Raw genomic sequence first — 27,896 nt, forward strand, 5'->3', positions numbered from 1 at the left:
CCTGGGAACCTAAAAGTCTAGTTGCCCTGCCTACCTTCATCCCACATGACCCACTTGTTCCAGGAATCTCGCTCAGGTTCTAGGTGTCCATCCATTCAATCTCTTCATTCCAGTCTTTGGTACCCATGTCATTGCTTCAGCCCATCGGCTAAGAACCACAGCTCTCCTGCTTACTCCTGTCAGTTTCCTTTGATCTGGGCATAGACCTTGAACCAGTATTCTCACATCTTAACTTGAATCCCCTTCCCTAGTTTACAGAATCACCAGGTGCTGAGAATAGCTGCTGCCTGGAAATCTGGTTGCCACGCCCAACTTTTCCTACACCCATTATCCACTGATTATTGATTTTGCTAAGGGTATCCTAAGTTTGGTATACCTTTTTGGACTTGGTTTTGGTGCAACAGTAGCGGCTGGAAGAGTACCCCTGCTATTTTTATCAGTTTCTTTTCTGCCCTTACCTCTCTTAATCTTGTGATCATAGCCTATGTCCTTCTCCTGCAGGGAACTCCAAAAATGCAGTGAACCAGAGGCCAGACTGTTTACTGATGATAAGGAAGCTATTGGTATATAGTCGTGTCCCATATAATGAAATTTTGGTCAATGGACCACATATACGATGGTGGTCCCATAAGATTATAATGGAGTTGAAAAATTTCTATCACCTCGTGATGTCATAACCCATTGTAACATCGTAGCACAACACATTATTCATGTGATGATGCTGGTATGAACAAACCTACTGCACTGCCAATTGTATAAAAATCTAGCACATTCAATTATGTACAGTACATAATACTGGAGGACGATAATAAATGACAGTGTTACTGGTTTATGTATTTACTACACTTTTAACCATTATTTTGGAGTGTACTCCTACTTATTAAAAAAAGTTAACCATAAAACAGTCTCAGGAAGATCCTTTAGGTGGGTTAGGGTTAGGGTTACGGCATTTTTTTGTCACAGGAGATGAGAACTCCATGTGTGTTAGCAACCCTGAAGACCTCCCAGTGGGACAAGATGTGAAGGTTAAAGACAGTGATATTGGTGATCCTGACCCTGTGTGGACCTAAGCTACTGTGTGTGCTTGTGTCTTAGTTTTTAACAAAAAAGTTAAACATGTTAAAATATAAAATAAAATATTTAAAAATAGAAAAAAGCTTATAGAATAAGGATATGCAGAAAGAAAATATTTTGTACAGCTGTACAATGTGCTGATGTTTTAAACTACCATAAAAGAGTCAAAAAATAAAAAAATTAAAAATTCATAAAGTTAAAACGTTGCAGTACATAAGGTTAACTTATTATTGAAGACAGTTTTCAATATAAATTTAGTGTAGCTTAAGTGCACAGTGTTTATAGTCTGCAGTAATGTACAGTAATGCCCTAGACCTACACATTCACTCTCCACTCAGTCATTGACTCCCCAGAGCAGCTTCCAGTCCTGCACGCCCCATTCATGGTAAGTGCCCTATATGGTGCACTATTTTAAAAAATGTTTTATACCATAGTTTTACTGTTCTTTGTAATATTTAGATACAAAAATACTTTCCATTGTGTTACAATTGCCTACAGAATTCATATAGGAATATGCTGTAGCCTAAGAGCAGTAGGCTATACTATATAGCCTAAGTGTGTAGTAGGCTATACAGTCTAGGTTTGTGTTAAGTACACTCTGTGATGTTCGCGTAATGAAATTGTCTAATGATGCATTTCTCAGAATATATCCACATCTCGTTAAGCAACACAGGACTGTACTAGTAATAAATTAAAAGACTGAACTGTGACAATAGAAATAAGGAGTGGGATTGAGAAGTCTTTCAATTGTGAGATTCAATTGTGAGAATTTTATGATTGGATGGTAAGGTTGAGTGATGAAGAATCAAAGAAACATCTTTGTTTTGAAGCTTGGCTGAGTATTGATGATGACACTGACTCGTTTCAGCTTCAGTCCTCTCTCCCTCCTCTGTCTGTCACTGCCAAGCTTCTTGGCTACCCATGCTGTAGTGACCCCTTAATGTCCTCCCATTCAGTCTTCACTCCTTCCAGTCTATATCTCTCTCCAGTCTGTGTTCTTCCTCCACCTCTTCATTGAGCCTTTTCTTTCCCAAGATAGTCAGAAAACTCCATGATGCCAAATCCCATCTCAGGAGCTGTCTCAACAGCACTGGCACCAATGTTTATCACTCTTCTCTTGTTGAAACATTCCCTTCTCTTGGCTTTTGTAACACAATCCTCTCTTGGGTTCCTTTCTTCTTTTATGACCCACCCATCTTATTCACCATTGACTCAACAAACATTCATTGAGTTTGTACACTGCGTTGGGTACAGTTCCAAGAGCTGGGATATGGTAGTAAACAACACTGACAAAATCTCTAACCCCATAGAGCCGGCATTCCTGCATGGGGAGACAAACAGTAAAATAAATACCTAAAATGCATAGTATGTGAGATAATGATAAATGTTAAGGAGAAAAGTAAAACTACGAGGTATCAAGAGGCATGAAGGCGTTCAATTTTAAAAAGGGAGATTAGAGAAGTTCTCACTGAGGTGACATGTGAGCAATAAAGATGGAGGGCCACCCTCAGGGATAAGTGGTGAGAGATTTTTCCAGGAGGGAATAGCTGGGACAGATGCCCAATAAGGGAGGCCTGTGTCTGAAGAAGATGGAGAAGGCAAGGCCAGTGGATGAGGTCTGGGCAGTGAGAAGGGAAATTAGGGGCCTAGTAGGGAATATTAGGACTTTGACTGTGTATTCCAAGTGAGATTGGAATCATATGAACAATTTTAAGCTGATAAGTGACAAGATCCAACACATCTCACAGAATCATGCTGGCTTTTGAATTGGGAAGAGATTGCCTGGGGACAAGGATAGAAACAGGGAGGTGGCTATGATTGTCTGGTCATTGAACCAGGGTACTTGTGGTGGATGTGTTTAAAAGAAATTGAATTCTGGAGATACATGGAGGTACAGATGATGGTATTTGTTGATGGATTAGATGTGGGTGTGAAAAAAAGAAGAGAGAAAGAAGTTAAAATGACTCTAAGCTTTTCGACATGAATTTTTTTAAAAAGAATGGAGCTGTATTAATTTAAATGGGAAAGATGACAAAACAGGTTTGGGAAGGGTAATCAGAGTTTTGGTTGTAGGGATGGTATACTTGCGTAATGAAATATTTGAGTTTGGGTAGCATTTCAATAAAGAGAGATACATTTGAGAAAAACCAGCATATGGATGGATTCGCAAGTCATCATACTGGATTAGATCACCAAGAAATTGGGTTTTGAAGACAAGAAAATGTCTGAGCCCTGGGGTACTCCAAAGTGTAGTTGTCTAGCTGATGAGAAGAACATCACAGAAGACCGCAAACAACTGACATTGAACGAGGAAGAAAACTAGATGTGGTGCCTTGAAAGTCAAATAAGATAAACTCTTTAAAGAGCAGGGGGTAAAAACCTGTGTCTCCTGATGCTGATAGAGAGACTACAGTTCTTAGTTTGCCCAGGACAGGCTTCAATCTGTTGTCTCTGCATAATTATTAATAGCTCCTCCTTCCATCCTCTTAAGTGAAGCAGTCAGCCAACTGATGGGTCAAGTAGGATCAATTGAGAATTAACTATTATATTTAGAAATGTGAAAGTCATTAATGACTTTGATGTAAGTAGCTGTGTTGAAGGCCTAGGCAGAGGGGCTCAGGATAGAATGTGAGTAAGAGGAATTGAGGAGTATGAATAAAGACAACTGAATCAAGAGGTTTTGCTGAAAAGGGGGAGCAGAAATATAGGTGGTAGCTGGAAGGTAAACTGCTGTCAGTCAAGAGTGGTAGGTCTTGCCAGGCGCGGTGGCTCACTCCTGTAATCCCAGCACTTTGGGAGGCTGAGGCGGGTGGATCATGAGGTCAGGAGATCGAGACCATCCTGGCTAACACAGTGAAACCTCGTCTCTACTAAAAATACAAAAATTAGCTGGGCATGGTGGCACATGCCTGTAGTCCCAGCTACTTGGGAGGCTGAGGCAGGAAAATTGCTTGAACTCAGGAGGCAGAGGTTGCAGTGAGCCAAGATCGTGCCATTGCACTCCAGCCAGGGTGACAGGGCAAGACTGACTCCGTCTCAAAAAAAAAAAAGAAAACAAAACAAACAAACAAAAAGAGTGGTAGGTTTTGTTTGTGTGTTTATTTGTGTTGGTAAGATGGGCTTCCACATTTCCTCAATTCCTCCTCATTTGTCTGTCCTCTAAGTGTTGGTCTTCATCAGGGAAAAGTCTTAAGCCTTTTTATTCTAAATTCTCTTTCTTGATTTACTCACCAATTCTCATGGCTGTAAATACAGCCTAATTTTGACAAATTCCAAACCAAAAGGGTTGACTTCTTCTGTTTTGAACTCAAGATCTGCAAATTAAATGCCAGATTCAAATAGCTTCTTGAATTCACATCTAATGAACATCTCACACTTAACATCTCCCAAACTGAATTTCTATCCTTCTTCTCACCAAGTCTCCTTCGGCCCCATGCCTTCCCTGTCCTGTCCATGCCACCCCACTCTGTACAGAAGTGCTCAAGTCAGAAGCCTTGTGATCATTCTTGAAATTTCTTCCTTGCTTATCTTCCCATATCTCACACATCACCAAGTCATGTCAAGTCTCCCTTAAAATACAGATAGTATATTACACCAGCCCTGGATACTCAGATCCATTCTTGATCTTTTCTCTTCTCTCTTCTATAATATAGGGGATTTAGCCCTGGAAGCTGTGCTCCCAGGTGCCCATGTCAGCTGGTTTCTGGTTGTGTTCCATCCATGGGAGGCATCAACAGGATAATGGAGCAGGAGGAAAGGAGAGAACAGGGCCCTTCTTTCTCTAGTCGTTTGAGGTGGTGTCTTCTTAACTCCAGCTTTCAATCAGGAGACTTCTGGCTGCAAACTCCAGTGATGACATCTTCTCACCTGGTCCCTCCAGCCAAGAAGCCTGGAGGATGAATGAAGGTCCCTCCAGCCTTCATCATTCTCTGCCAGTGGGACCAGGTGAGAAGGTGTTGTTTAATCTCCAGGTTACCTAATTTTCCCCTGTGGGCTTCTCAGAAATTTCGTCACCTAATTAGTAACTCCACAGATTCAATTTCCTCTAATTTCTTCTATTTTAAACAGAGTGCTTTCTAGTTGCTGTTTTGTTGTCTCCTCAGAAGTGGTCATATTCACCTGCTCTTCTCCTTTTCATGAATGGCTGTATTCTAAGGTATTATCATCTCTTCCCCTAGCTGCTGCCCTCTAGCTGGCTTCTCCACCTCTCATCTTTCCTTCCTCTTATTCATTCACACAGTTGCCAGAGTGATGATAAAAAAACTCAAATCATGCTGTTCAATGGCTTTCAGTTCAATATAGAATAACAGACTCCCCTCTTAACCTGCCTACAAGACCATGTATACTTTGGCCTCTGACAGTTTCTCCAACATCATCTCACTCATTCTGTGCCACATTCTTCTCCCCGGCCTCCTACAGACCTTACCCGTTTCATGAAACTCCTCCTCACATATCACACAAACTTGATTCCTTCCCTCTACCCTGTTATTTTCTATTTTGGTTTTCTGGTCTTTTCCTTTGTTTGACGCAACATGATTTCTACTTACGTGTTTACTTGTATGTTTACGTTTTTCCTTTATCAACAAAACCTTCAAGAGGTCAGGGAACGAGATTGTAGTGTATCTTATAATTTAACCAGTGCCAGCTTGACTTGTAGAGTGTCTTCCTAGAGAACAACAGATAATGTTTGAATAAGTGAATGAATACACATTACTTAATCACACTAGCATTTTCTTCACTGTTAGGTTACAGTGGTTCTCTTCTCAGAGGCATAATCAATAATCAAAATGGCTGTGAATTATAGTTGGAGTTGCCAAATGGACCAGGCCCTGCTGTAATAGATAGTTGGGGGCTTTATGCTGGAAGGAAAGCTGAGGCATCTTTGGTTTGGGGAATCAGGATTCAAACAGTCACTGATCCTTTCCCAACCTCTTTCTCTTTCTCTCTGTTAATCTTATTACTTCCTCTTATCAACTCCTTCAAATGTGCTCTACTTTCCAAAGGAAAACCCAAAGTTCTTGGCATGACATGTAAGGTTCCTGTAATCCCATGCCAGCCTCTTTCCATATCCAGGAGTAAATGACCACCTTCCATCCCTGTAGCCTGTTCTCAGTCAGTATGGCTGTCTTAGAAGTACCACTGTGACATACACGAGCGGGCTCTTCCACCCCTACTCCATGCCACTGCCCTTGCAGATCCCTTTACCAGCAATACCTTCTCTTTCTTGCCACCTAAGAAACCCTAGTCAGCCTCCTGCTGATCCCACACAGAACCTCCTTGTACACTGAGCTTCTCCTCAGCTCCACCCTCTGTGTCAGTCCCCCCGCTGTGTCCCCTAGCACCCAGTGTTTCTCTATTTGGCTGTTTATCACATTATATTTTATTGTTTTTAAAAGCTCTCACTGCTTGAGACTACGAGCAGGGACCATATCTTGTTCCTATTTGCATTCCAACACATGGTGCAGGGTCTGAAAGGCACTTAATAAGCTTGTGTTGAACCAGTGGTTGGGTACATTGCAAATGGTTTTTGCATACCTTCATCAGCTCAAGAAATAATTTTGCCTCAGAAACTTCTATTTGTTTCCTTCCTCCTCTTAGTTCCCAAATTGCACTTCATAACGAGTTGTTCCCTTCATGTTGTAGCTTTGAGCTCAGCCACCACCTACCCATCTGCTCCCCCTGCCCCCTGGCCTATTGACTCTGCCTGCTGTTCCCACTTTGCCTTCCTCCCTCCTCAGTGGCAAATCTGGCTCCAAAGCCTCTGCTTTCCATGGGGACAGGAAGAAGCCGCATCGGGACTGTGATCCTGCTGCGGGGGGTGGGAAGGCACAGAGTGGCCCTGCCACCCACTGCCCACCCTCACCCTGTGTTCCTCAGCACTGAGAGCACTCCCAGGGCCCGATGAGCTAATCCATTCTGCCTCAGCCACCAGGGTGCAGTGGGAGGAGACATTCTGCAAATCAAAGAAATAATAAGGGACTCATTTGCATGCACTATTGATTTTGGTTCCAGGAAATGTTAATAGCAGCAGAGAGTGAGACCCTCATACCTCTTTACGCTGAAAAGCAACCCTTCTACTTTTTCCATTCCAGCACAGAATGAACTAGTGTGATTCTGGCATTTAATTAGTGAGGATAAGCAAGGCTGAATTCCTCTTTGTGGAGTAACAGTGATGAACTCTAACCTTTCTTGACATGACAGCCTGTTAGCTTCTCCAAAACCATTTCTTTTAAAAAGACAAGCATAAAGCAATGATCACTTTTGTATGTGCATTGCTCTGTTTCTATGACTGGTACCAGGAATGATCTGGTTTTTCTTTCCGCAGTATTCTTCCTTGGATGAAAGGACTAGGAGAAAGCCCTGCAACCCCACGAGTCCGCCCGTTTGTTGAAATCAGTTCAAGATCATCCAGGTCTGCAAAACTCGGCTGAAGCAGCTTGTTGCATAATTTACCAGAGAAAAGAGGGCCATCTGGAGAGCCAATCTGGAGAACTCGAGCAAAGGCAGAGTCTTTTTTTTTCCCCTCTTAAGTTATCCTGATTGACTCCCTGCCTATATTGGGCCTCCGCAGTGCTTGGCCCGCATCCTGAAAGATGGCAGTCCAGGTCAAAGGCCTTGGCCTCCTGGCTTTGAACCCTGGCAAAGCACTGCCTGGCCCACAACTGCTAGTAGCCCCACCTACCATAGCTGTGCAAGGTTCTCAGACACCTCCCACCTGTCTTACCCCATGACACCGTGGGGGCCTGTGTCATTCCCAAGGACAGCTGGTTTACGCATATGCAGAGGAGGCAGCTACCCACAAAGGGATGTGGGAAAGCTCTACCAAATTTAAAAAAAATAAAAATAATAAATAAAAAGAAAGAAAGAAATCTGCCTTAACCTCTAGTCAAGGAGAAAGTCATTTCTTCCACAAAGATTAAATCCTTTGTGTTAAAGCAATCTATTTCTTTCCAATCCAGAGCCTGTGAGTGATTCTATAGGGTAGTGAACACAATAAACTATTACCAGAGAATAGTATTTTTGTCAATGATTTAGGTGATATTTTAAGAGGTATAAGGAGTTTCTATAGAATTTTCCTTCCATAGAGCCTGGGGAAGAGGCTAAGGGGCTGGGGGGGAGGGCAGCTCCTATCAACCAGCTCTACCTGCTCCCTCTCCAGTCCCATCCTGTCCCCTGAACCTGGCTGCCCTGGACTCCAGGTGCCACCTATGTGCTGGCTATAGCTGATTTGTAGTGATTTCCTGAAATGTTCCACTGAGCAGCTTTCTGGGCCGGGAAAGAAATAGCACAGACTTCAAATTTATGAGGTCTGCCACAAGTATGGGATGAGAGGAAGTTCGAGGAATTTTCCAACCCTGTGCTAGCCACCTTTCTTAGTCTACAATGCTTTAATATGATCATAGATAAAGGTAGTCAATGTTTGTCCTAGGATTCAGCCAGTTAAAAATAAAGTAATTGAGAGTCTGACATTGGATAAATTACATAACTTTCCAGGCTTAATTTCTCATCTATATCATAGAAATAACAATATTTATCTGATTAGATTTTTAAAACTCCAATACATGTATAAGTCTTGCCACATAACTATATGTCCAATTAAAAAGTGTTTTCCTTTTCTTTCTTATGTGGTTTAAAATGCACGAGTTTTTACACAATCCAATTTTACTGGCTTGGCAGTGTAGAATTTCCTCTGTGTGTACCTCGAGGGTACTGAAGTTCAGGCTCTAGGGGTCTGTTTCTTGAATGGCAGGGCACCTTTGGCTTCCTTTCTTGCAAAACCTTGAACTCAGGCGTGTGGGGCAGGGGGAGGATTTGTGCAGTCTTGCATGGACGTCTACAGTGCCTTGGCTGAACAATGTGTTAATTATGGCCTTTCCGTCTCAACTGCACCTGCCCATTTCACTATCAGAAAGAAAAATCTCTCCTTTCTTCCTTGCTTCACTGTTATACTTTAGAACCATGATTGTTTTGCCGAAATAGATATTGACTAGAGAAGGACAAACCTCAAAGGTTTTGGATTAAGTTCTCTTTCTGATAAACATGAGGGAGTTTGAATGCTCTGGGGAGTCTTATTTAAGCTATCTTAACCTTTGGGGCCCATGAAAACTGGAAGAAAAAATTTCTTTCTTACCACTTTCTTTGGTTTGCTACCATTAGAAGAGACCATGCTGCAAGCACAGGTCACTCCAAGGCTTTAGCTGCAATTGTTTTGTGATGTATTTTGAAATCCTAGGGTGACAATACTTGTATACATGCAAAATAGGAATAATAAGCTAATTTTTGGCATACCAGGGGTTCTTAATCCCTTTTACTCTTTGGACTGTCAATGGGAAAGTCTGGTGAGTTCCAGGAACCCTTTTCCTAGTAACATTTTTTCAGTGCCTGTACTAAAAACATATAGGATTTAAAGAAACTGAATTATACTGAAATACAGTTTTCTCTGTGAGCCAATCAGTTTCTGTTGAAATGCAAAAAGATCTTTAAAAATTACATTTGCTGCCTTTTTATTATTAGAAAAACCCTGCTTATTATTCAGTAAAGGTGTAACATTTGAAAATTATAATAAAAGTGTAAGAAAAATTTAAAAATCACCTACAGCTTCAATTTCAAAAGAATCTTTGAATATTAATTCACCTCTGATAGGTGGTCAGATTACAAAGGAGAATTTTTTGGTTTTTTTTTTTTCAATGTTCAGAGCACAGTCAAGGTGCAAATGAATGGTGAGCACAACCTTTGAGAACTTTTCAATCAACACCTAGTGCTGGAGATGAATGGGACACAAGAGCTTAGCCAATTCAGAAGTACTGAATCTAGTGTGAGCATCAGATGCATCTGGGGAGATTGTTCTAAAATTTAGATTTTCGGGTTCTATTCCAGGCCTTCTGACCAAGAATATCCAGAGACAAGGTCGAAGAATCTGAACTTTTAAAGGCCGCTTAGGAACATCTGATTATCAGCAAGTCTTGGGAACCACTGATAATACAACGCGCACCCCCCCACTCAGTGCAGAATGCTTCCCAACAAGGTCTCTAAATGCTTCTTCCAAAGCATGTTTGGGTTTGGAGATTCAGCTCAAATGCTCTGACACAGACTGTCCTAAACTGGTATCATCCCAGCCTGTGACAGAAATTGAAAAACAAGTAATACTTCGTGCTCTAAAATCTTGATTTCTGCTTAGTTGTGTCCTCATCAAATAGCTGCTTTCTATTTTCCATGGCCAAGTGCACAGAAGAAGGGGGTGGGGGCGGGGGGTGGCTGGCTGGCTCTAGCATTTGGCTGGACAGAGTGAGAGCTATATTGGAGGGGGGGCCGGGGTGGGGGACTGATTCTTGGAGTGACTCTCTGGATCTGGATCGTGGGCTTTTTCATCCTCGTGAAGTCTACGTGCTGCGTTTTATTCATTAGCACCTACAAGGGACTAATTGCCATCAGGCATGTAGGTGGAATTCCTGGCAGGGAGCAAGAAATGGAATAGGTTTGATGACAACCAATGATCTGCCAAAGCCCTGTCAGAAGGAGAACAGAGTCTTGCTGTCACTCATCCACCCCTTTAAATTCAAATGAAGATGCTTCTGAGTGGGGAGGGGGAGGGGGTTGGCACGCGTCCAACTTTGCATTGAAGATACTGTACATTTTTACTGTATATGCGAAAGTCCCTGCTCCTGGTGGTGCTGTTTCTTACATGAGGAAAAGAGAGAAAGAAAAAATAGAAAAAGAAAAAGAAAATCTGAGGCCTTGCTTTAGGCCTGCTGTACTTACTACTTTCTCTAATGTCAGTGGCCAGAGGTGACTCGGGCATTCACTGACGGGCATCGAGGGGACTCCACACTTCCTGTAACTGTGTGTACAACCTCATGTGAATTATGTACATATTTCCATGGTGCTTCTCATTTTCTCAAGGAAACTATACTCCACAAAAGATGAAGAACTACTGCCATAGAATATCAGTGCTGTCTTGGGACATTTGAAGGTCACAGTCATGCAAATGCAACCAAGATCCCTGGCAGGAAGCATTTCAAGCTATCAGGAAAGCCCCACTGATCCAAATAGCAGTTTTGCAAGTAACAGTAATTTCATGAAGTTACACATACAAGGCATGGGTGTGTAACCACTTCCCCCAATGACAGTGGGTAGTAGTAGCTGTGGGTAGCAGTGCTCATGTATTTAAATCAGATCTAGTCGTCTCTGACAAATGCCAAGCATGCTCTTAACTCTCTTAAGTAATAAACTTCCCCGGCTCAAGTAAAAGTCAGCCTTTTCTGCAGGGAATAGCCACACCTTTCCTTCTCATTCTTGTAGCCCATTCTCCTCCTCCCTGCTATTTTCTGCAGCAGGGAGGGAGTAGACCAGTTCCAACCTCGGTGGTGCAGATCAACTGTTACTCTGTAAAGTGAAGGCATGACTCAGTGACATCATGCTGATTTATTGAAGAAAACTACAAAATCTCTGGTCTCAAAGACATTTAGCAGAATGACAGGAAATTATCTTAGGTAGTTCTGTGGTTGAAGAGGAGTTCAATTAGATGACCCCATAAAAGTCTTTCAAATTTAATTAACTTAGTAATCATTTAAAATTATCACCACATCCTATGTAAAATTTTGAGGGTTTTTTTTTTCCAGCAAAAGTGTTTTCAAAAAGTTTATCTTATTGAATTACTTGGCTGTTTATTTCACAAGTACTTTATTTTGTTTTTCCATGCCTGGAATGACTACATTTTCTTAAGATGACTACAAATGTTATGCCAGTGACATTTGTAGGTGGAATCAAAACAGTGTTAATTAGTTGTATTGAAGAGTTCCCTGACTTTAGCCTGTTTGTCAGTAACAAAGACACAGTATATTTTCCTTAGCTCTCATGAGTAACTAGTCCTTCAAGGATCAACATATTACCTTAAAACACCTCTGCTTTGAACCAAAGGAATACATTAGTAACAGAGATTCTGTGTGGGAACATTTTTACTGAGAGAATTGGTAGTTAATGAACATGTTTATCTTTTTTCTGTTGGAAAATGTTTTTATCCAGTCCCAAAATGGTGCCCATAAGCTTTATATTAATTAATTTTTATTAATCAGTTGAAGTTTATGCATTTTCAAGAAGGTGCATTTAAATATCAAATGTTGGCCTGGTGCAGTGGCTCATGCGTGTAATCCCAGTGTCACAGGATCCTTAGGGTGTCACTTCACCAGCCAGAAACCTCTGTGGCCAGCAGCACCTTCTGCCTGAATATTGCTCATGCCTGCTGGGCTTGGTCTGCCCACTCCGCCTGGTAGGCTGTGCTCAGCTTGCGCTGCTGACCCAGATCCCACACCTGCCAAGGGCCAGCCAGGTGCAGAGTGGTGAGGGGTGTGTGGACAAGCAAGCACAGGGTCCAGCCTCTGCACGCAGCCAGGCACATCAGCTGCTGTAGTGGAGCAGGCAGCTCCAGGCCCTGGCACAGGTGCTGGCTCCATGCAAGGCTGCAGCTGGACCATATGTAAGGCACGTGGCTTATGCTGCAGGCACCCGCGTCTGGAGGAGGGGAAGGCATTGGCACCCAAAAGGTTGGAGACACCAGGAACTTCAAAGAGGGCGTGACAGCCCTGGCTCAGGGAGGCCCTAGGTCTGGGATCCCCAAAGGGCCGCAGCTCTTCTCTCCTCTTAGTCACCCATAAAGTGGCAAGTTGTGGCGGGGTGCTGTTTCAGCCCTGTTTGTCTTACAGCTCTTCTCCCCTTCTCCTTGTCTCTCGCAAGTAGCAAAGAGCAGGGAGGGGAGCATGTCTCAGCCCTGTTGGTGTTACAGCTCTTTTTGTCCTGCCATTCGGCAGATCCTGAGTTCTTGTCCTGTGCCCAGGAAGAATTAGGTACTTGGACAACTGGAGGGCGAGCAAGGGAGAGTGGAGCTTTATTGAGCAGCAGAACAGTTCTTGGGAGAGGAGACCTGCGGTGGGTATCTCCTTCCCACAAGAAGATCATCCCGACGAGTGGAGGACACCCGAAGAGAAAAGCTCCTTCCCACAACTGGCAGTCCCAACTTCTGTGTGAATCTGGCTGAGTCCGGGGTTTTCATGGACTCAGATGGAGGAAGTGCATGCTGATCGGTCTATGGGCGACGATGGGCAGGCCCAGAAAAAGCACCGTTAAGTTCTCACTCCTGGCTGTGGACTCCACCACCCGGAACTTACAGCCTGGCTCCCAGGCTTCAGCTGTCCCTGGCTTGAAGGTGAGGCTTCACCAGCGACCTGCCCCTTTCCACCCAGGAGCCTGTCTTCCATCATCATGTTGTCCTCCACGCCCTGGCTGCTTGGGCAGAGGGGTGCCTGAAGGCCCTCAGTGAGCCGTCCTCAGCTGCCCGGCAGCCTGCCTTCCTGAACTCACTGGTGCCCAAAGCTTCAGAGGGGGGCCGAGGCGGCGGGGGTGCTGGTGTGTCAGTGCTGCCCGGAGCGCACACACACCTGGCCAGGTTGCGACAGTGCCTGAGCAAGCTCAGCTTCAACCTTGCTCCAATTGGAGCGGGTGCCAGGAGCAGAAGAGGCCAGGCAGTGGGAATAAGCACTTCCAAGCCTGTGCGGGGAGGGGGTTTCCCGGCCCTGAGAACACAGGGATGCCTGGATCCGCAGCCACGGCTGGGCTGCTGTGCTGTGCCTGGGACCACCGGGCGTCCTGTCAACTCGGAAGGGGGTGGGGCTCCTGTTGGTTCCACAGAGTGTGCAGCCCTGGTCACACCAACCCCACTGCAGCTGGCGTCCCTGCAGTGGCTGCTCCAGACAGGCTGCCACTGCCATCACCAGCACTTTGGGAGGCCAAGGCTGGCAGATCGCTTGAGCCAAGGAGTTTGATACCAGCCTGGGCACCATGGCAAAACCCCATCTCTTTAAAAAAAAAATGTTTGAAAAAATTAGCTGGGCGTGGTGGTGCCTGCCTGTAATCCCAGCTACTCGGGAAACTGAGGTGGGAGGATCACCTGAGCCAGGAGGTTGAGGTTGCAGTAAGCTGTGATTACTCCACTGCACTCCAGCCTGGGTGACAGAGTAAGACCCTGTCTCTAAATAAATAAGTATCAAATGTTAGTAAACTTTCTATTAAAACCACCAGTGTTAATGGAGATGAGTGAAAGATTAATTTAGGATGGTAGGTGGAGTTAGGAAAGGGGAGTTATTTCTCTACCATTTTGTGCCCTGATACTTGGAAGGAAACAGACCTTCATCTTGCTGTGTCATCTGTGGATATATAGACACAACCAACAATGTTGTGAAGCAGGAGGGAGATGAAGGGAGAAAAGAGAATGCAAAAGAAAGCAAAGAGGGGACTGGTGCAGATATAGAATTACACCAAATGGACTGCAGTTGGAACTCATGTGTGAAACTGTAGAGAAAAAGGGCAGGGATACGTAGGAATTCTTCAAAAACCCCCTTTGAACTCTTTCTTAAATCCATGCCCACTGGGGGTGTGGATGAATGATTCCTCTCTTTTCAACACAAGGAATGGTGAATTGGGGTCCAAGCAGAGCCCCCTAATCTCACAATGGGTTGTATAAACTGAAAAGATACTTGGGAAAATGTTATTTTTCCAATATCTGTCTTCAGGTGCTCTCCTTTTAATTCCTCCAGGTACTCATTTCAGTTCAGGGCTTACCTTTTTCCACTCCATCATCACAGGATAATATCCCATCAGAATTCAGGCAATGCCTCATTTCCAGTTACCCCCCAACTAACTTTTCTCTAAAAATTCACCTGTTCTCCTTATGCCATTAAGCTCCTGCTTTCTGCTTGACTGAGAGTAGATGTTGTCATTATGCCTTTAAGTTTGAGAAAACAATCGGATCAAATGTCAAGTTGCTCTTAAGCAAGATTTTACTAATCAGGCAAAAAGTGGTCATTTCTAGAAATCACCCAGAAAGAAAATACAACATGTGGAGATTCAAAGCTTGGGGTTGTATTCTAAGGTAAGTCTCTAAATAGCTCAAAAGCATGAACAGACTCCTCCTTTCTCCTGAAGTTGGTGAACTCTGCTCCCAGGGAAGTCTGTTTCCCAGCCCTACCGATGCTTCCAGGGGAATCTGCAGACCTGTTCCTCTAGCCAGCCCACTGTGTCTGGTTTAGAATCTTTAGTTAGGATGCTTGATTGCAGATCTTTAGCTTCAGATTTGTCACTTTTTTGCCTCCCATTGTGGACAGGATGTTTCATTTACTTTATCCTTGGCCCCAGCTGCCCAGTCATCCAGTTAAACAGCCAACTTTTTCTCCTGACCCCAGATCCTAGGACCCTAATTCATTGAGAAGCAGTATTACACAGCTAGGCATTTTTTTACCCTTCAAATTATGTCAAGTAGGGAAGGGTCAATAGATATGGAGAAGAAAACAATACTGACTGCTTACTAGGTGCCACGTATTTTGCAGGGATCATTTCAGAATCCTTACAACACCATGAAGCAGTTATTATATCCTCATATTGAACATGAGAAAACTAAGACTTAGTTAAATAACTTATCAAATTTACACAAATATGAAGTAGCAGAGCTGGGACTCAAACCCAGATCTATCTGATTTCAAAATATTTGCCATCTGTAATACACTAACCATAGTCTCACAGAAGGCACCAGCCTACCTACTTGACTGGATCCACCTGTGAGGACCAATGGGTATGCCATTGTTATTTGATTAATGAAATCCATTCCTCATTCAAGAGACACCTGATACACGCTTTAGGCATAGAATGTATAAAAGATACAAAGAACAAAATAATAATTGACCCTTATCTTAAAATTCTCTCAGTCTACAGGAAAGACAGTTAAATAAGTAATCATAATATGGAGGAATATTGTGAGGGTTGTTGATAAAAAATGATAAGGGGCTGGGGACATAGCTAAGGGAGGATTTATTCTGGGAGTTAGGAGAGATGTGTTCAAGGAACATTTTTTTTTCTTTTTTTTTTTTTTAAAGCGGGAGACTTTTGATCCAGACACAATGTTTAAGTAAGGATCTTCCAGGAAAATATGATGGGCCAAGGGTTCCGGTTGGAAGAAACTTACGAGCAAAGATACAGAGATAAGCAAGTTTCTGGAATGTTCTGGAACCTGTGAATTATCTGATGTAGTTAGTAAAGTGCTTCTTGGGTGTCTGGCTCCAAATACCCATAGGAGTAGAGTATAAAAGTTTTATGTAACATTTGGGGTGAGGATGGAAATTACCTTACCAAAGCAGAATTTCAAGTTTTTTGCTTTTTTAAAAAAATTGGTTTCTGGCATTCTATTCCAAACTATGCATGTATTTGTTTATAAACAATGTTTTTAATTTACTCACTATGTGAATTATTTACCTTTTCTTGAGGAATATTTGAAACCCCAGGATGATGTACCAAGTTCATCCAGGGGCTTTGTGTATGCCCTGGTGACTTTACAAACCACTACCTCAGAGTTCATGCCATTCTGTCTCATTTGAGAAGGATGGAGCTCAAATACATGTGTATGGTTAAGTCATATCTAGCGACGAGGCTGAAAACGGAAGCTGGGTTCAGTTTGTGAAGTGTTCAGATCAATGAGATAATGGGATCATGCACATGTTTTTATAAATGTATCAAAAAATCTTTTCATGTAATATATGTTCTGAGACACAATCTAATTGTTCACAGCAGTTGGTTATATCAATAAAAAAGCAGGTTATTTGATAAACATTTTCCCAGTGAAGAGCGGACTGTCTTTTATCCTCCAGTCATTAATTTCCCCCTGCCCACACTTATCTCTTTGTTGCTTGTACACATGCAGCCACATTCAATTCAGGGATGCAAAATCACTCCTTGACCCACGCCCTTAATGTAATTGTCCAGCCTAATGATGGGCAGGTATAAAAGATGATCAAGTTCACTTTGAAAACACAGAAGTGCTGGATGGTTTGTAAAAGGAAAGAGATAAATATAAATCTGACTTTCAGCCTGCCAATTTTAGTACAGTAAATTCTATGAAAAAATTTAATGCTACCAAACTCATTCATATTTGGTGAGTTTGGTTCAGATTTTCTTTCCCCTCACCTTGGACTACTTGAGCTCCTGTCATCAAGGCTGGCCTCACCCCTGGGTCACTGGGAAGGCCCTCTTCCCCCTCTCCCACCTTCAGTGATGCCTGAAATACTTTAAGTAGGAGACCAGTCAATCAATTTTGCCTCCACAATATGAGTAACACCTAGCACTAAATTCATACAAAGAGATGAAAACTGAAATCAGACATTTCCTAAGGCAGCGAGTATGGGTCGATAGGAAGGAGGAGAACACACAGGGGTGCTCAAGGCCAGAAGGGATACCAGCTGGACCCTGTCTCAGAGAAAGCAAAAAAAATGGTGAACAACAAAGCCAAATGTCAGTTTTACCCAAGGCTTGCGTTAATGAACCTTCACTACCTACTTGATGACCCCATGATGGAAAACATGCTTCTTCTGTCGGCAGTTTGTGCTGTGAAAGGCTAAAGACATTAAAATTGTAATTAAATACAAATTTATAAAAATTCTAAGACAAAGGTTTTATTCTGATTCTCTGCAATTCAATTCAGACCATCACCAACAAATCAGTTATAAATACCTACAAAAATCCTTAAGCTTGGTCCAAAACAATGAAAAGTCTCATCAACAAGAAACATAAAGTAATGAGAACTGAAATAAAAATCATTTTCAGAATGCAAGTGGATATGATGAGACTACATGTCACAGGCCCCACAATTCAAATAATCTTGGGTGTTCTCTAAGATCATTAAAAATCACTATGAAGAAAGGACATGTGATTATCATGTTTGTACAAATAAGGGTAAAAGGTTAGTATGATGATTCTCGTACAGGAGTAATTTGGATGTGGGAAGATATTAGTAACTATAAATAAAATCATTAAGAAATCAAAAGTGCTTAGTAAAGGTATTTTCAAATCTTCAAGGAAAGACAATTTTAAGTTTTATAAAGTAAAGTGACATTACTCTGTCCATGGATGTTCATCTGTATTCTAAAGGCCATAACTGACCCTAGGAAAGAAAATTCTACCAAGATGTAGTAAGGACACTTGTGAGAAGCTAAATCAATTACAAAACCAATGGCCTATCTGAATGCATCACTAACGTGCATGGTCTTGCCCTTGAACTTGTTGGAGTGCTATTTGCTACACTGTACATTACTAGAGGAAATAATCAATAGTCGTATCAGTTTATGACAGGCCCAGCAATTGAATATCTGGAGTTTTCCTGAGACATTAAAATTGGGCATCCTAGATCCCATGTATATGACTGAGGCATCATTTCTGAATTCTGATTTCAATTGGCAAGTGGTCCCACATTGTCACCACTTCTTTCACATCTTTCCTTCTAGTATATTCTAGGAAGGACAGCCTTCCTTGATGCCCATACTTTGAGCTGTCTCTGCACTGATGCTGTGTGTTTTCAATTTTTTTCTGTTCTATCAAGCAAGGGTGGACTTAGAGAAAGAATAAAGCACTGCACAGAGCCTCTAGACTATGTGTTAGTTGCAAAATGAAGAAGGCAGTAGAAGAGGAGGAGAGTCATCTTCCATATTCTCTTTTGGGACACTGAATATAGGTGAAATTCTAGATAAATGGAAGAGTCTTACTAAAATAAATCCACAAACTCATAGACTAGAACTAAGCTTATCCTGTTAAATATTTTATATGATATAGCTCTTAGCCCTGCACTTTCTGACTTTAAAATGTGGTAGAAAATACTAGGAAAGACTTGGATGAATATGTTTCATGGTGGCCAGGTTAGAACCATAGGCACAAGATAGTTACAGAGAATGAACTGTTGAATGTAAGCAAATCTTTCACTTACAGGGGGTTTGCCACTTTAAACCAGTGCTCCTGCCAATATTTTTAGTGGAAACTTCCTAAATGTGTTAAAATTATTCTAGCCATAATTAAACCTTTTTTATTGATACATAATAGTTGTACATATTTATGAATATATATGATATTTTGCTACATGCATATAATGTATAATTATCAAATCAGGGTAATTGTGATATTTTCAATGACACAGAAGACATATTTGCTCAGTAGTCTGTAGAATATCCTTTGGTGTTATTGAGTTATAATGGTTACCTACCCTTAAACTCAATGACCCCTTGCTTTTTTTTGAGATGCTGTATCTATTATTTCTTTTTCCTGCATGGTCAAGCCCAATCAGGATGAGCTGACAACACTTATGTCTTCTGGCCCTATCCTCCTGAAATACATGAATTCTAATCTGCATGGGTTGAGAAACCAGGTTCTCCAACTAGTGAAACTGATTTTTTTTTCTTTTTTCTTTTTTGTAGAGATGAGGTCTTGCTATGTGACCGAGGCTTGTCTCTAACTCCTAGGCTCTAGTGATCCTCACACCTCAGCCTCCTAAAATGTAGCAATTACAGGCATGAGCCACTGTGCCCAGCCTGGGATTGGATTTAAAGTAGGAGTAGAGAGGTGCTAAAGTTGAGACATGAAAAAAGTACGTGTACTTTGGGGTTGTAATTAGCTACTTCAGGGTTAATTTCAGATCTGTGTTCATATTCCAGAGATCTGAGCTGTGAAATAAGTGATCCTTGGATAAGTGAGGTAATAAAATAGTGAGGTTTTTGCCATAGCTTAGATAAAGCATTCCTATTTTGCAAAAATATGTTTCAGGTGTAAAAGATACCCTGTTTTGTTTTATAACAATGATCTGCTGAGAATGATTACCAAACACAGAAATCTCATGAGTTTACAAGACTTGTTCTCCTACAGAGGCCAAGCCTGTCTAGGAATATAATAGTTCTTTTAGTCTTTCAGATGCCTGGAGCAATTAAAGGAAAACACTATGTTTGAATTTGCTAATGCTGTTTATTTCCCTGATGTTGTCATTTCATCATGGTTACTGGAAGGGGTCACCAACACATTTTTAGAAATTGAAAAGCAATGTTTAGTCTTAGTGAAAGAAGATGACCAAATGTCTGATAGTATCTCTGAGGTTAACAAGATGGGATGATGCCCAGTTTCAGGCCACAAAACAAGACAGAGGAATGAATATTATATGTCATTTCTAATGGGATAAGACCCTGAGAACAGTCCATTTTCCAGTTTGGTGTTCATTATAAACAGGGATTTCAACTTGCTAGACTTACACACATCTGAGTACTTGTACACACAAGCCCAAAGACACAGACTATGTAACACTACCAAAACATCGGCATGTAAATTTGTGTAATTGGTTTAAAAGCCATTGCCGGGAAAAAAATGTTTGTATTGCTAGGTAATAGTTCAGAGCTACTGTGGATTCTAATTTTTAAAATATCCACGCAAACACAAGGAAATAGAATGAAACTGTATTTTAGGAGAACAGTATTATTTATTAGGTAACTAAAATGTATGATATTTTAATCTGTGCAAAACAACTCTGGGTCCTAGAGAGAGGGCAGTCTGCCCACCTTGGTGACATACTTGATCAAGGCTTCTATGCCACTGGCTTCCTGAGACTTCCTTTTATTTAACACAGTCATACAGCAGTTACTATGTACACCACAGATTAAGCCCTTTACAAGTATTAATTCATTTTATTCTCATAACAATCCTAGGGAATATGCAATAGTAGTACCCCCATGTACTAGGGAGGTCAACTGAAGCACCGAGAAATAACTTGCTTCTTATGGGTTTTGAAGCCAGCAATCTGGCTGCAGACTCTGCCCTTGATTACTAATGTATGTTACCTCATCAATCTGCATTCACGTGGGACCTGGGACTAAGCTACTGTTGCCAAACACCCACTATGCCAGCCCAGCTGGGTCACCGGGGGTGTCAGGGTCAAATGCATGCTATACTCAGGCCAACTCTCCACATGACAGACAAGGTAGGTTCTGGCTCTGGGTCCAGTCTTCAGTCCATACTCCTTCCCTTTCATCACAAAAGCCTCTTTTGTCATTCTTTTAGGTTGAGAGAGGATGAAGCACATCAGAAAGCACTCATTTCCTTTCTTACCAATGAATTGCATATGGATTCCTCTAAATCCATCATAAAATACTGAATAATGTGGAAACTCAAAATAGGAGTGGTGGTCTCAACTCATTTGCTCCTTAAGGTCCCTTTGTTGCTATGCAAACCTTTTCCCAGCAACCAGTGTTGTATAAAAGGGGTATTAAGAAGGACATTATTTCTCTAGCTATAAAATCTGTGGTATTATACCTTTCCCCAAAGCAATGCATAACAACTTGCCTGTCATTTTTTTTTAGTTTAGAAAGGTTACTCAAGTGATGCTTCTATCTTAGATGGAGCATTAACTGGCAAATTATATGTCAGTTTCAATTGATCAATCAACCAATTATACAAATTTAAAATCTGCTTAACCAGATAACTCTTGCCACCCCAAAATATGAAAAATTCAACAGGAAAATATTCTAGTTAATCTCAGAATTCTTTTCAATTCCCACAGCCATTCATTCCTGAGCCATCAGAGAGCAAATTCACTCTGTTTAAGTCTTCACTGTTAAGTTATATCAATCTCTTCTTATCAACATGGCTATCATTTACTAATCCTTAGAGGATTGTTTTAGGAGGATAAAATAACAAAAATAACAAATTTTATTTGGGACATTTTGATTTTGAAGAGTTTGTAAGACATCCATGAGGAACAGCTCTAAGGCATTTGGAAATGCTGGTCTTAAACTCACAAAATGAGGTAGCTTAGGGACATACTTTAGAGTTTTGAATCATTTTCTTATATTTAAGTTTAAAAGTTCATTGGAAAAAAGGTGATTTGTCTCTAGATTGTGAGGGTGTTAGGTATTAACTGCAAGAAACTTGTAATTTATAAGCAAGGGACATGAGGCATTCTCTTGCCCTCAAGGAGTCTGACTGTATGCATACTTTAGAAAGACATCTTGTGGTGTTCAACAGATGTAAACATGAGGCTATAGTAAAGTCTGAAAAGAGGTGATGAAGTCTAGAACCAGAACCATAGAAATGGAGATCCACACACAGGAGAGTTAAGAACCAAGAGAGAAATGAAATGTCATTCATAATAAAATGGAAATAATCTTCTGGTTTTTATAAGAGAAAGAGTTGCTGTTTAGTTTACTCTGGAGAGGCAAAAGAAAGAAATCTGGGCAACATAGAATGCTGGACTGAATTTGAAGAAATAGGGATTTTTATGAGCACGGGTATGTCTAATGTTTACTTTTAAGTGGTTTGTGTTGCTGTGATATTACTGTGGTAAATTTCAGGTTTGTGACTATTTATTTTGTTTGTTTTTGTGGCAATAAGGAAAACAGTCTGGATTTGACATACAAAGGTCTACATGGTATATCAATAATAACCCATAAATCAAATTGAATTGGGAAAATCAAAGCTCTGTCTGCACACGGTTTAGGGTTTGAGCCAGTTTCATTCTGCATCTCAAAAGATAGGTTTCCATGGAGTACCTGGGTTACTTGAGTTCTGGAATAGCAGAACTATATGCGCTCTTGGCTTGGGTAAGAAGGAGAAGAAATACGTATTCTCTCACAGCCTCATGGAGTTCTACAGCTAAGCTTGCCAAGCTCAGTACATAAACACCAGCTAGAGAAATGTAAACCTGACACTAACCCTTAACTCTGTAACAAAACACAAATTTAAACATCCAAACACTGGCTGCTCTCAGTTCCATGAGAAACCATTGTTTTCTCCCACCAGTCCTCAGGCAGCAGAACAGCAAATGCTAAGGTACCAGGTGATCCCAGCCAGATGCAGTATTTACCCAGGAGGGATACAGAGGCAAATAACACATAGTCCCAATCCCTGTGAAGCACATGGTCTACTAACAAGGGCAGCTATTTCCCCAGTGAATTAAAGAGCAGTACAATGGTGAAGATATGAGCTGAATCACACAAAACACCCTAGAGGAAGAAACAACTGACTCTTTGGAGGGTCACTAAGTTTCCCTTTACAGCATTCCCCACCCCAAAGACTTCGTCTTTCACCTAGTGCATTCAAGAGATGAAGGTTTTGACTCCTGAAATTTCAGACATCAAACCTCTGTAAAGAGGGATATTTTTCCAGAAGATTCACATATATTAAGGCCAGTATTGCCGTGGAGTAAAAAGGGAATGCAGCATTCTGCTAGCTGCTTTAGATGCATTACCTTATGTAATCCTTCTATCAACTGTATGAAGATGGTATTATTATTGCTACCTCAAAAATCAGGAAAGAATACTCAGAATTCAAACCCTTATCTACCTGATTCCAAAGCTCTCACTTTTCCCACTAAGCCTAACTTAATCCCCCAAGGTGGGGTTATGACACATTTCCTCATTGTATAAGACAGTATGTGCATTGTAACGCCGGCCCTAAAATAAACATACGTACATATGCACACAGGCATACACATATATAAGGCATCATTGGTTGTTAGGCAAATTCTAATTGAAACCACAATCAGATACCACTACACAGATAGAATGGTAAAGAAAACAAAACAAAAACAAAAACAGAAAACCTGTTAATACCAAGTGCTGGTGAAGATTTGGAATAACTGGAATGCTCATACCTTGCTGGCGGGAATGCAACAATGGCTCAGCCACACTGGAAAAGCTTGGCAGTTTATTATGATATTAAACACATAAGTATATAATCCACCAACTCTACTCCTAGGCATTTAACATAAGGTAAATGAAAATATTTGTCCATGCAAAGACCCATTATGAATGTTTATAGCAGCTTTCTTTATAACCCCAAACTAGAAATAACCAAAAAACTATCTGCTGATGAGTGAATAAACAACTGTGGCACATCCATACAATGGGATGATACCCGAAAGTAAAAAGGGAAAAAACTACTCACACATGTACCAACATTGGGGAATCTCAAAAGCATCATGTTAAATGAAACAAGCCAGACACAAAAGGCTAAATACTGTATAAATCACTTACATGACTTTCTAGAAAAGTCAAAACTAGGGGACAGAAATCAGATCAGTGCTTGGTGGGGTTTTGGGTGAGAAAAGGGAATTGGCTACACAGGGACATAAAAAACTTGTTGAAGTGATAGACTTATCTTGGTGGCAGCTATATGACTGCTCATGTTGCTAAAAACTTGTACTTATGCTATAAATAAAAATGATAGATTTTGGTTTATGTAAGATGTGCATTTTTTAAAAAAGAACTGTACACTTAAAGGAGTGGATTTCTCCACATGTAAGTTTACCTCAGTAAACACACAAACACAAATGTCTTTCTAGAAAAATGTACTTTAATACAAAACTGAATGTTTATATTTAATCTCTTTGAGCTATTCCTGCTTTGGCCTGTTTACAAATCCCACCCACAAGGTACTATCTTTTATGGAAGACTTTGTAATGTGAGTAAGGATACCAGAAAACAGTAAGTTAGTAATTTGTTCCATTCACCATCACTCTGTTACACATTCAGACAAAGCATGAGTGTGAAAGGATTTGAGCCTATTACCAAGATTAATGGAAACCCAGATGGGGGACTCCTGAAGAACTAACAGCTTCATCTGAAATCCAGTGGAAAACAATTGTCTCAGAGTCACGTGAAGTGCTACAAAAGCCAAAACATAACTAAGTCCGACTGCCTTCCGGGCATGGTTTGACAGCCTTGTGGGGTCTGAGAGCAGAAGCCTGAGAACAGAGATTTATGCCACAAATTAAGCTCCTAAAACTCCAGTGGAATATTTTGTGAGCCCCTTGGCCATATGTAACTGCACTGCTAACTGTCACTACAAGAGAACATTCTAAAAATGATGTGGAATGGGGTGCAGGACAGGGAGCATTTAATTGAAAAAAAAATCTTTGTAAAAATAAAAAAAATTTAAGAGCTATTTTGCAATTCTAAAACTTGCCTCATGTTCCAGTGATGTCTGAACATGCTTGGGGCCATAATTTAAATAATTTTTTTCTCAACCAGTGGGGTGTAATTTTTAAATTACTGAAGATGTCCAAAGATAGTCATGATTTTCATCTATGAAAAACAAGACATTTTCTGAGAATTTCTACTTGCCCTACCTATTACTCATTTTTTAGACAGCTAAGACCTTTGAGGGTTAAGAGGCATAAATAACATAAAGAATGACACTGAGAAAACACAAAATGAAGAACAGAGCAAAACTAGAAATTCTGTCCCAAGTGGGTCTTAACTGAACCATATGCAGTATTACATATTATTGAACAGTCATGAGTTTCCAATTCGCTATAATGTTTTCCTCTGTGCTCACAAGTTGTTTGGTGAAGTCAAGCAAGCTAGCAAAAGGAAGCACTTATTCAGAGCCCATTTGAAAGAGGAAGAACCATGAACAGTGAATAAACAGGTGGAGGCAGGTATATTACAAAACTCTATGCATTTTGAAGGTTTGTATCAATATGAACAGGGCTTTCTCTCTAATCCCAGGGGCAGGATTTCAAAACATAGGCTTGGCTGGAATATTTATCTAATTTCTCATCACCTGACTAAAGCCAAATCCTAACCACAATAATTGGTCTATTAAAAGATGTAGTTCTAGCAACTCTGGCAGATGAATCATTCAGATACACGCACACACATTTATGCTCCTCTTGGCTACACATAAGCAAACAAAACAAAACAAATAAACCACAGAGAAGGCAGAATGGGTGTAAGAAATTCCCACTCTACTGGTCCCTAACTCTCTATCTTTAATACATACTAAAGGCTAAATTTATATATATATAGATGGCTGTAAGAAGAGACAAATATCCCGGGAACATTTCCTGCAGAAAGACTAGTATTTCCTTTGGTATATAAGTGAAGAGTTTCAGAGGAAATTGGGAGAAGTACTTTCCTTTGTGCAATTCGTTTCTTGGACTGGCACTCCCGTTCCCCTGTTTATTTTTGCTTATCAGCCTCCTTAAGCTCCAAGCACAACCTTTCCTTTTCCATTGTTTTCATTTCTTTGCCACCTTTTTATTGATACATCTCATTCTCATTAATGTAGATTATGAATTATGATCAAGCAGTATCAAGCCCTTTTCAAGATACAACAATACTGAAGGGTTCTCGAAGAGGGTTAATATATACACACCTAGTGGTAGGGCCAGGGCCGAGGTCTCGCCACTACTGGGCCCGTTTTTTCCTCACTGCTGCTTTGGGGACACAGTCCCACGACAGCCGCGTGACATCGTCCAAGATGAGAATTTGCTGTTAGCGAAGGTCTTCCAGAAGAGACCAGAAATACTGAAAATGATTTTTCCACAGCCCCACGGACCAGAGCAGGATCAGTACCTGCTTCAACGTTCCACCCCGCAATCACCTGCACCAGGGACTCAGAGACCCGGCAGCAGCATGGTTCGCACCACAGTCCCCAACTCGGTCTGGGCCCTGGGAAGTCCTCTTCACAAAGCCAATACACTTGGCCTGCGTGTGAGGCCTCTCCTCACAGTCAGGGCGAAGCCGCGGCTGCTCCAGGCCCCCTGGTGCCACCTGAGGCGGAGGCCCGGGCCCCACCTGCGCAATCGCCTAGATCCTCCTGTCTCGTTAGGCCCTGCTCCTCTGCCATTCCCGTGGGGGCTGCTGGGTAGGGCTCCGGTCTCCACCCTCCACCCTCCACCCTCGCTCTTGTGGGCGTGGCCTTCTCTCCATGTGGAACCCATTGGCCTGCAAGTGATACTTTAGAAATGGAGACCAGGAATCATGCAAAATGGATGTTGGTCTTTTCTGCCCTGTCGTGTCAGCTGATTCTTCTACTTGGCCTCCTTCTGTGGTTACTACTGCAGCTTTTTCTTGGGTCCTAGATTACTCCACCATCCTCCTGAGATTCAGTTGCAGCTGAGAATCCTGGCTTTTACCCTGCCAGGGAGGGTAATGGGATGTTTCAGGGTGACACAGCTAGGGTCAAAGGACAAAGAATAGACTTTGATTCTTTTCCACCACCATAGACAAGAGAAGCAAGCCTTCTTGTCCAGGATTGAATACAGTGCCAGTGCTGTAGTTTCAACTCCACTGGCATTACTCAAGAAAGCAGCCAGGACTGATAAGTGGAGAATGGGGCAATAATATATTTTATTCACAATTGTTACCTTAAATATTACTTATGAATTGTTCTTTACTTGAAAATGAATGCAAAGCAAGACCTAGAATTCCTGCTCAACAGTGTCAGCCTGTGTGGAATTACCATGCCATCAATAAAACTCCTAATATGATATGTTTGTAATTTTTACATCAATAATTATTAATTTGTAACATAATATAGTTCTACTTGGGTCAAAACAACTAAAAATGTAAAGATTTTCTCTCTAATTTTTCTCCCATAAAAAAGACATTTGTTTCTCTAGAGATGGAAAAATGTAATTTATAAGACGTTATATCATAATTTTGAAAAGGATTACAAATGGTGGATGATAGAATTTCTTACACAGTGCAGGTTCCTTTTATATATTTTTGGATATGTAGTTTACTTTTTCCTGCCTGAATACCAAATATTGCTTGGAAGGGAGTGGTGACAGGGTTCATGGGTCAAACTTGTTGAGAAAAGTCAAAATTGTAGCTAAGAAAAAAAAAAATTTACATCAATATAAAGAGCAAGGCAAGGACTGAACCTTAGAGAGTTGAGAAGAGCAAAGGTAATAAGGAAAGGTAACTAGGAATCAGACCGTCTTTTTTTAGTGTAGCACCTGGCATCTTTTGGAGACGTGTAACAGCTTTCAAGGAGTGATGCTGAATTTAATACTAAAGTGAAAATGCATGCTAAATATCTCAAGGGATCAGACTGTATTGGGTAGATTTGACACCTGTGTTGTTGATGGATAAATCTCTAATCTCCCCCCTTAAAATATCAATCCATTTTTTTCAGTTCACCTTCTGATATAACACAGAACAACTCTATTCTCTGAATAAGCGAATATTTCAAAA

General features: G+C 41.2%; 2 long non-coding RNA genes across 2 annotated transcripts in view, besides 5 other annotated features; one reads left to right on the forward strand and one right to left on the reverse strand.

Annotated features, from left to right (window-relative positions):
• Positions 1 to 10,229, forward strand: part of LINC01449 (long intergenic non-protein coding RNA 1449) — a 31,898-nt gene extending 21,669 nt beyond the window's left edge. Inside the window, exons 5-6 of the long non-coding RNA NR_110832.1 lie at positions 7,400 to 7,577; positions 9,952 to 10,229. This is a non-coding gene — a long non-coding RNA (long intergenic non-protein coding RNA 1449). The remainder of the gene's footprint in view (positions 1 to 7,399; positions 7,578 to 9,951) is intronic.
• Positions 1 to 26,523, reverse strand: part of LOC105375241 (uncharacterized) — a 40,928-nt gene extending 14,405 nt beyond the window's left edge. The window contains exons 1-2 of the long non-coding RNA XR_927190.1: positions 26,071 to 26,523; positions 5,622 to 5,740 (exon numbers count right to left, since the gene is read on the reverse strand). This is a non-coding gene — a long non-coding RNA (uncharacterized LOC105375241). The remainder of the gene's footprint in view (positions 1 to 5,621; positions 5,741 to 26,070) is intronic.
• Positions 8,835 to 8,914: a silencer, noted in NCBI's record as "silent region_18119". NCBI's record gives its function as "represses an Ori minimal core promoter by ATAC-STARR-seq in GM12878 lymphoblastoid cells {active_cell/tissue: GM12878}" and the evidence as "EXISTENCE:reporter gene assay evidence [ECO:0000049][PMID:35858748]".
• Positions 10,710 to 10,849: an enhancer, noted in NCBI's record as "active region_25896". NCBI's record gives its function as "activates an Ori minimal core promoter by ATAC-STARR-seq in GM12878 lymphoblastoid cells {active_cell/tissue: GM12878}" and the evidence as "EXISTENCE:reporter gene assay evidence [ECO:0000049][PMID:35858748]".
• Positions 11,070 to 11,149: an enhancer, noted in NCBI's record as "active region_25897". NCBI's record gives its function as "activates an Ori minimal core promoter by ATAC-STARR-seq in GM12878 lymphoblastoid cells {active_cell/tissue: GM12878}" and the evidence as "EXISTENCE:reporter gene assay evidence [ECO:0000049][PMID:35858748]".
• Positions 11,210 to 11,259: an enhancer, noted in NCBI's record as "active region_25898". NCBI's record gives its function as "activates an Ori minimal core promoter by ATAC-STARR-seq in GM12878 lymphoblastoid cells {active_cell/tissue: GM12878}" and the evidence as "EXISTENCE:reporter gene assay evidence [ECO:0000049][PMID:35858748]".
• Positions 12,009 to 12,510: an enhancer, noted in NCBI's record as "H3K4me1 hESC enhancer chr7:41174879-41175380 (GRCh37/hg19 assembly coordinates)". NCBI's record gives its function as "activates a minimal SCP1, AML or CMV promoter by ChIP-STARR-seq in naive H9 embryonic stem cells {active_cell/tissue: H9 hESC(naive)}" and the evidence as "EXISTENCE:reporter gene assay evidence [ECO:0000049][PMID:30033119]".
• Positions 26,524 to 27,896: the final 1,373 nt, after the last annotated feature.

Source organism: Homo sapiens, chromosome 7 (assembly GCF_000001405.40).
Source record: "Homo sapiens chromosome 7, GRCh38.p14 Primary Assembly".
In the NCBI taxonomy this organism is placed as follows: Eukaryota; Metazoa; Chordata; class Mammalia; order Primates; family Hominidae; genus Homo; species Homo sapiens.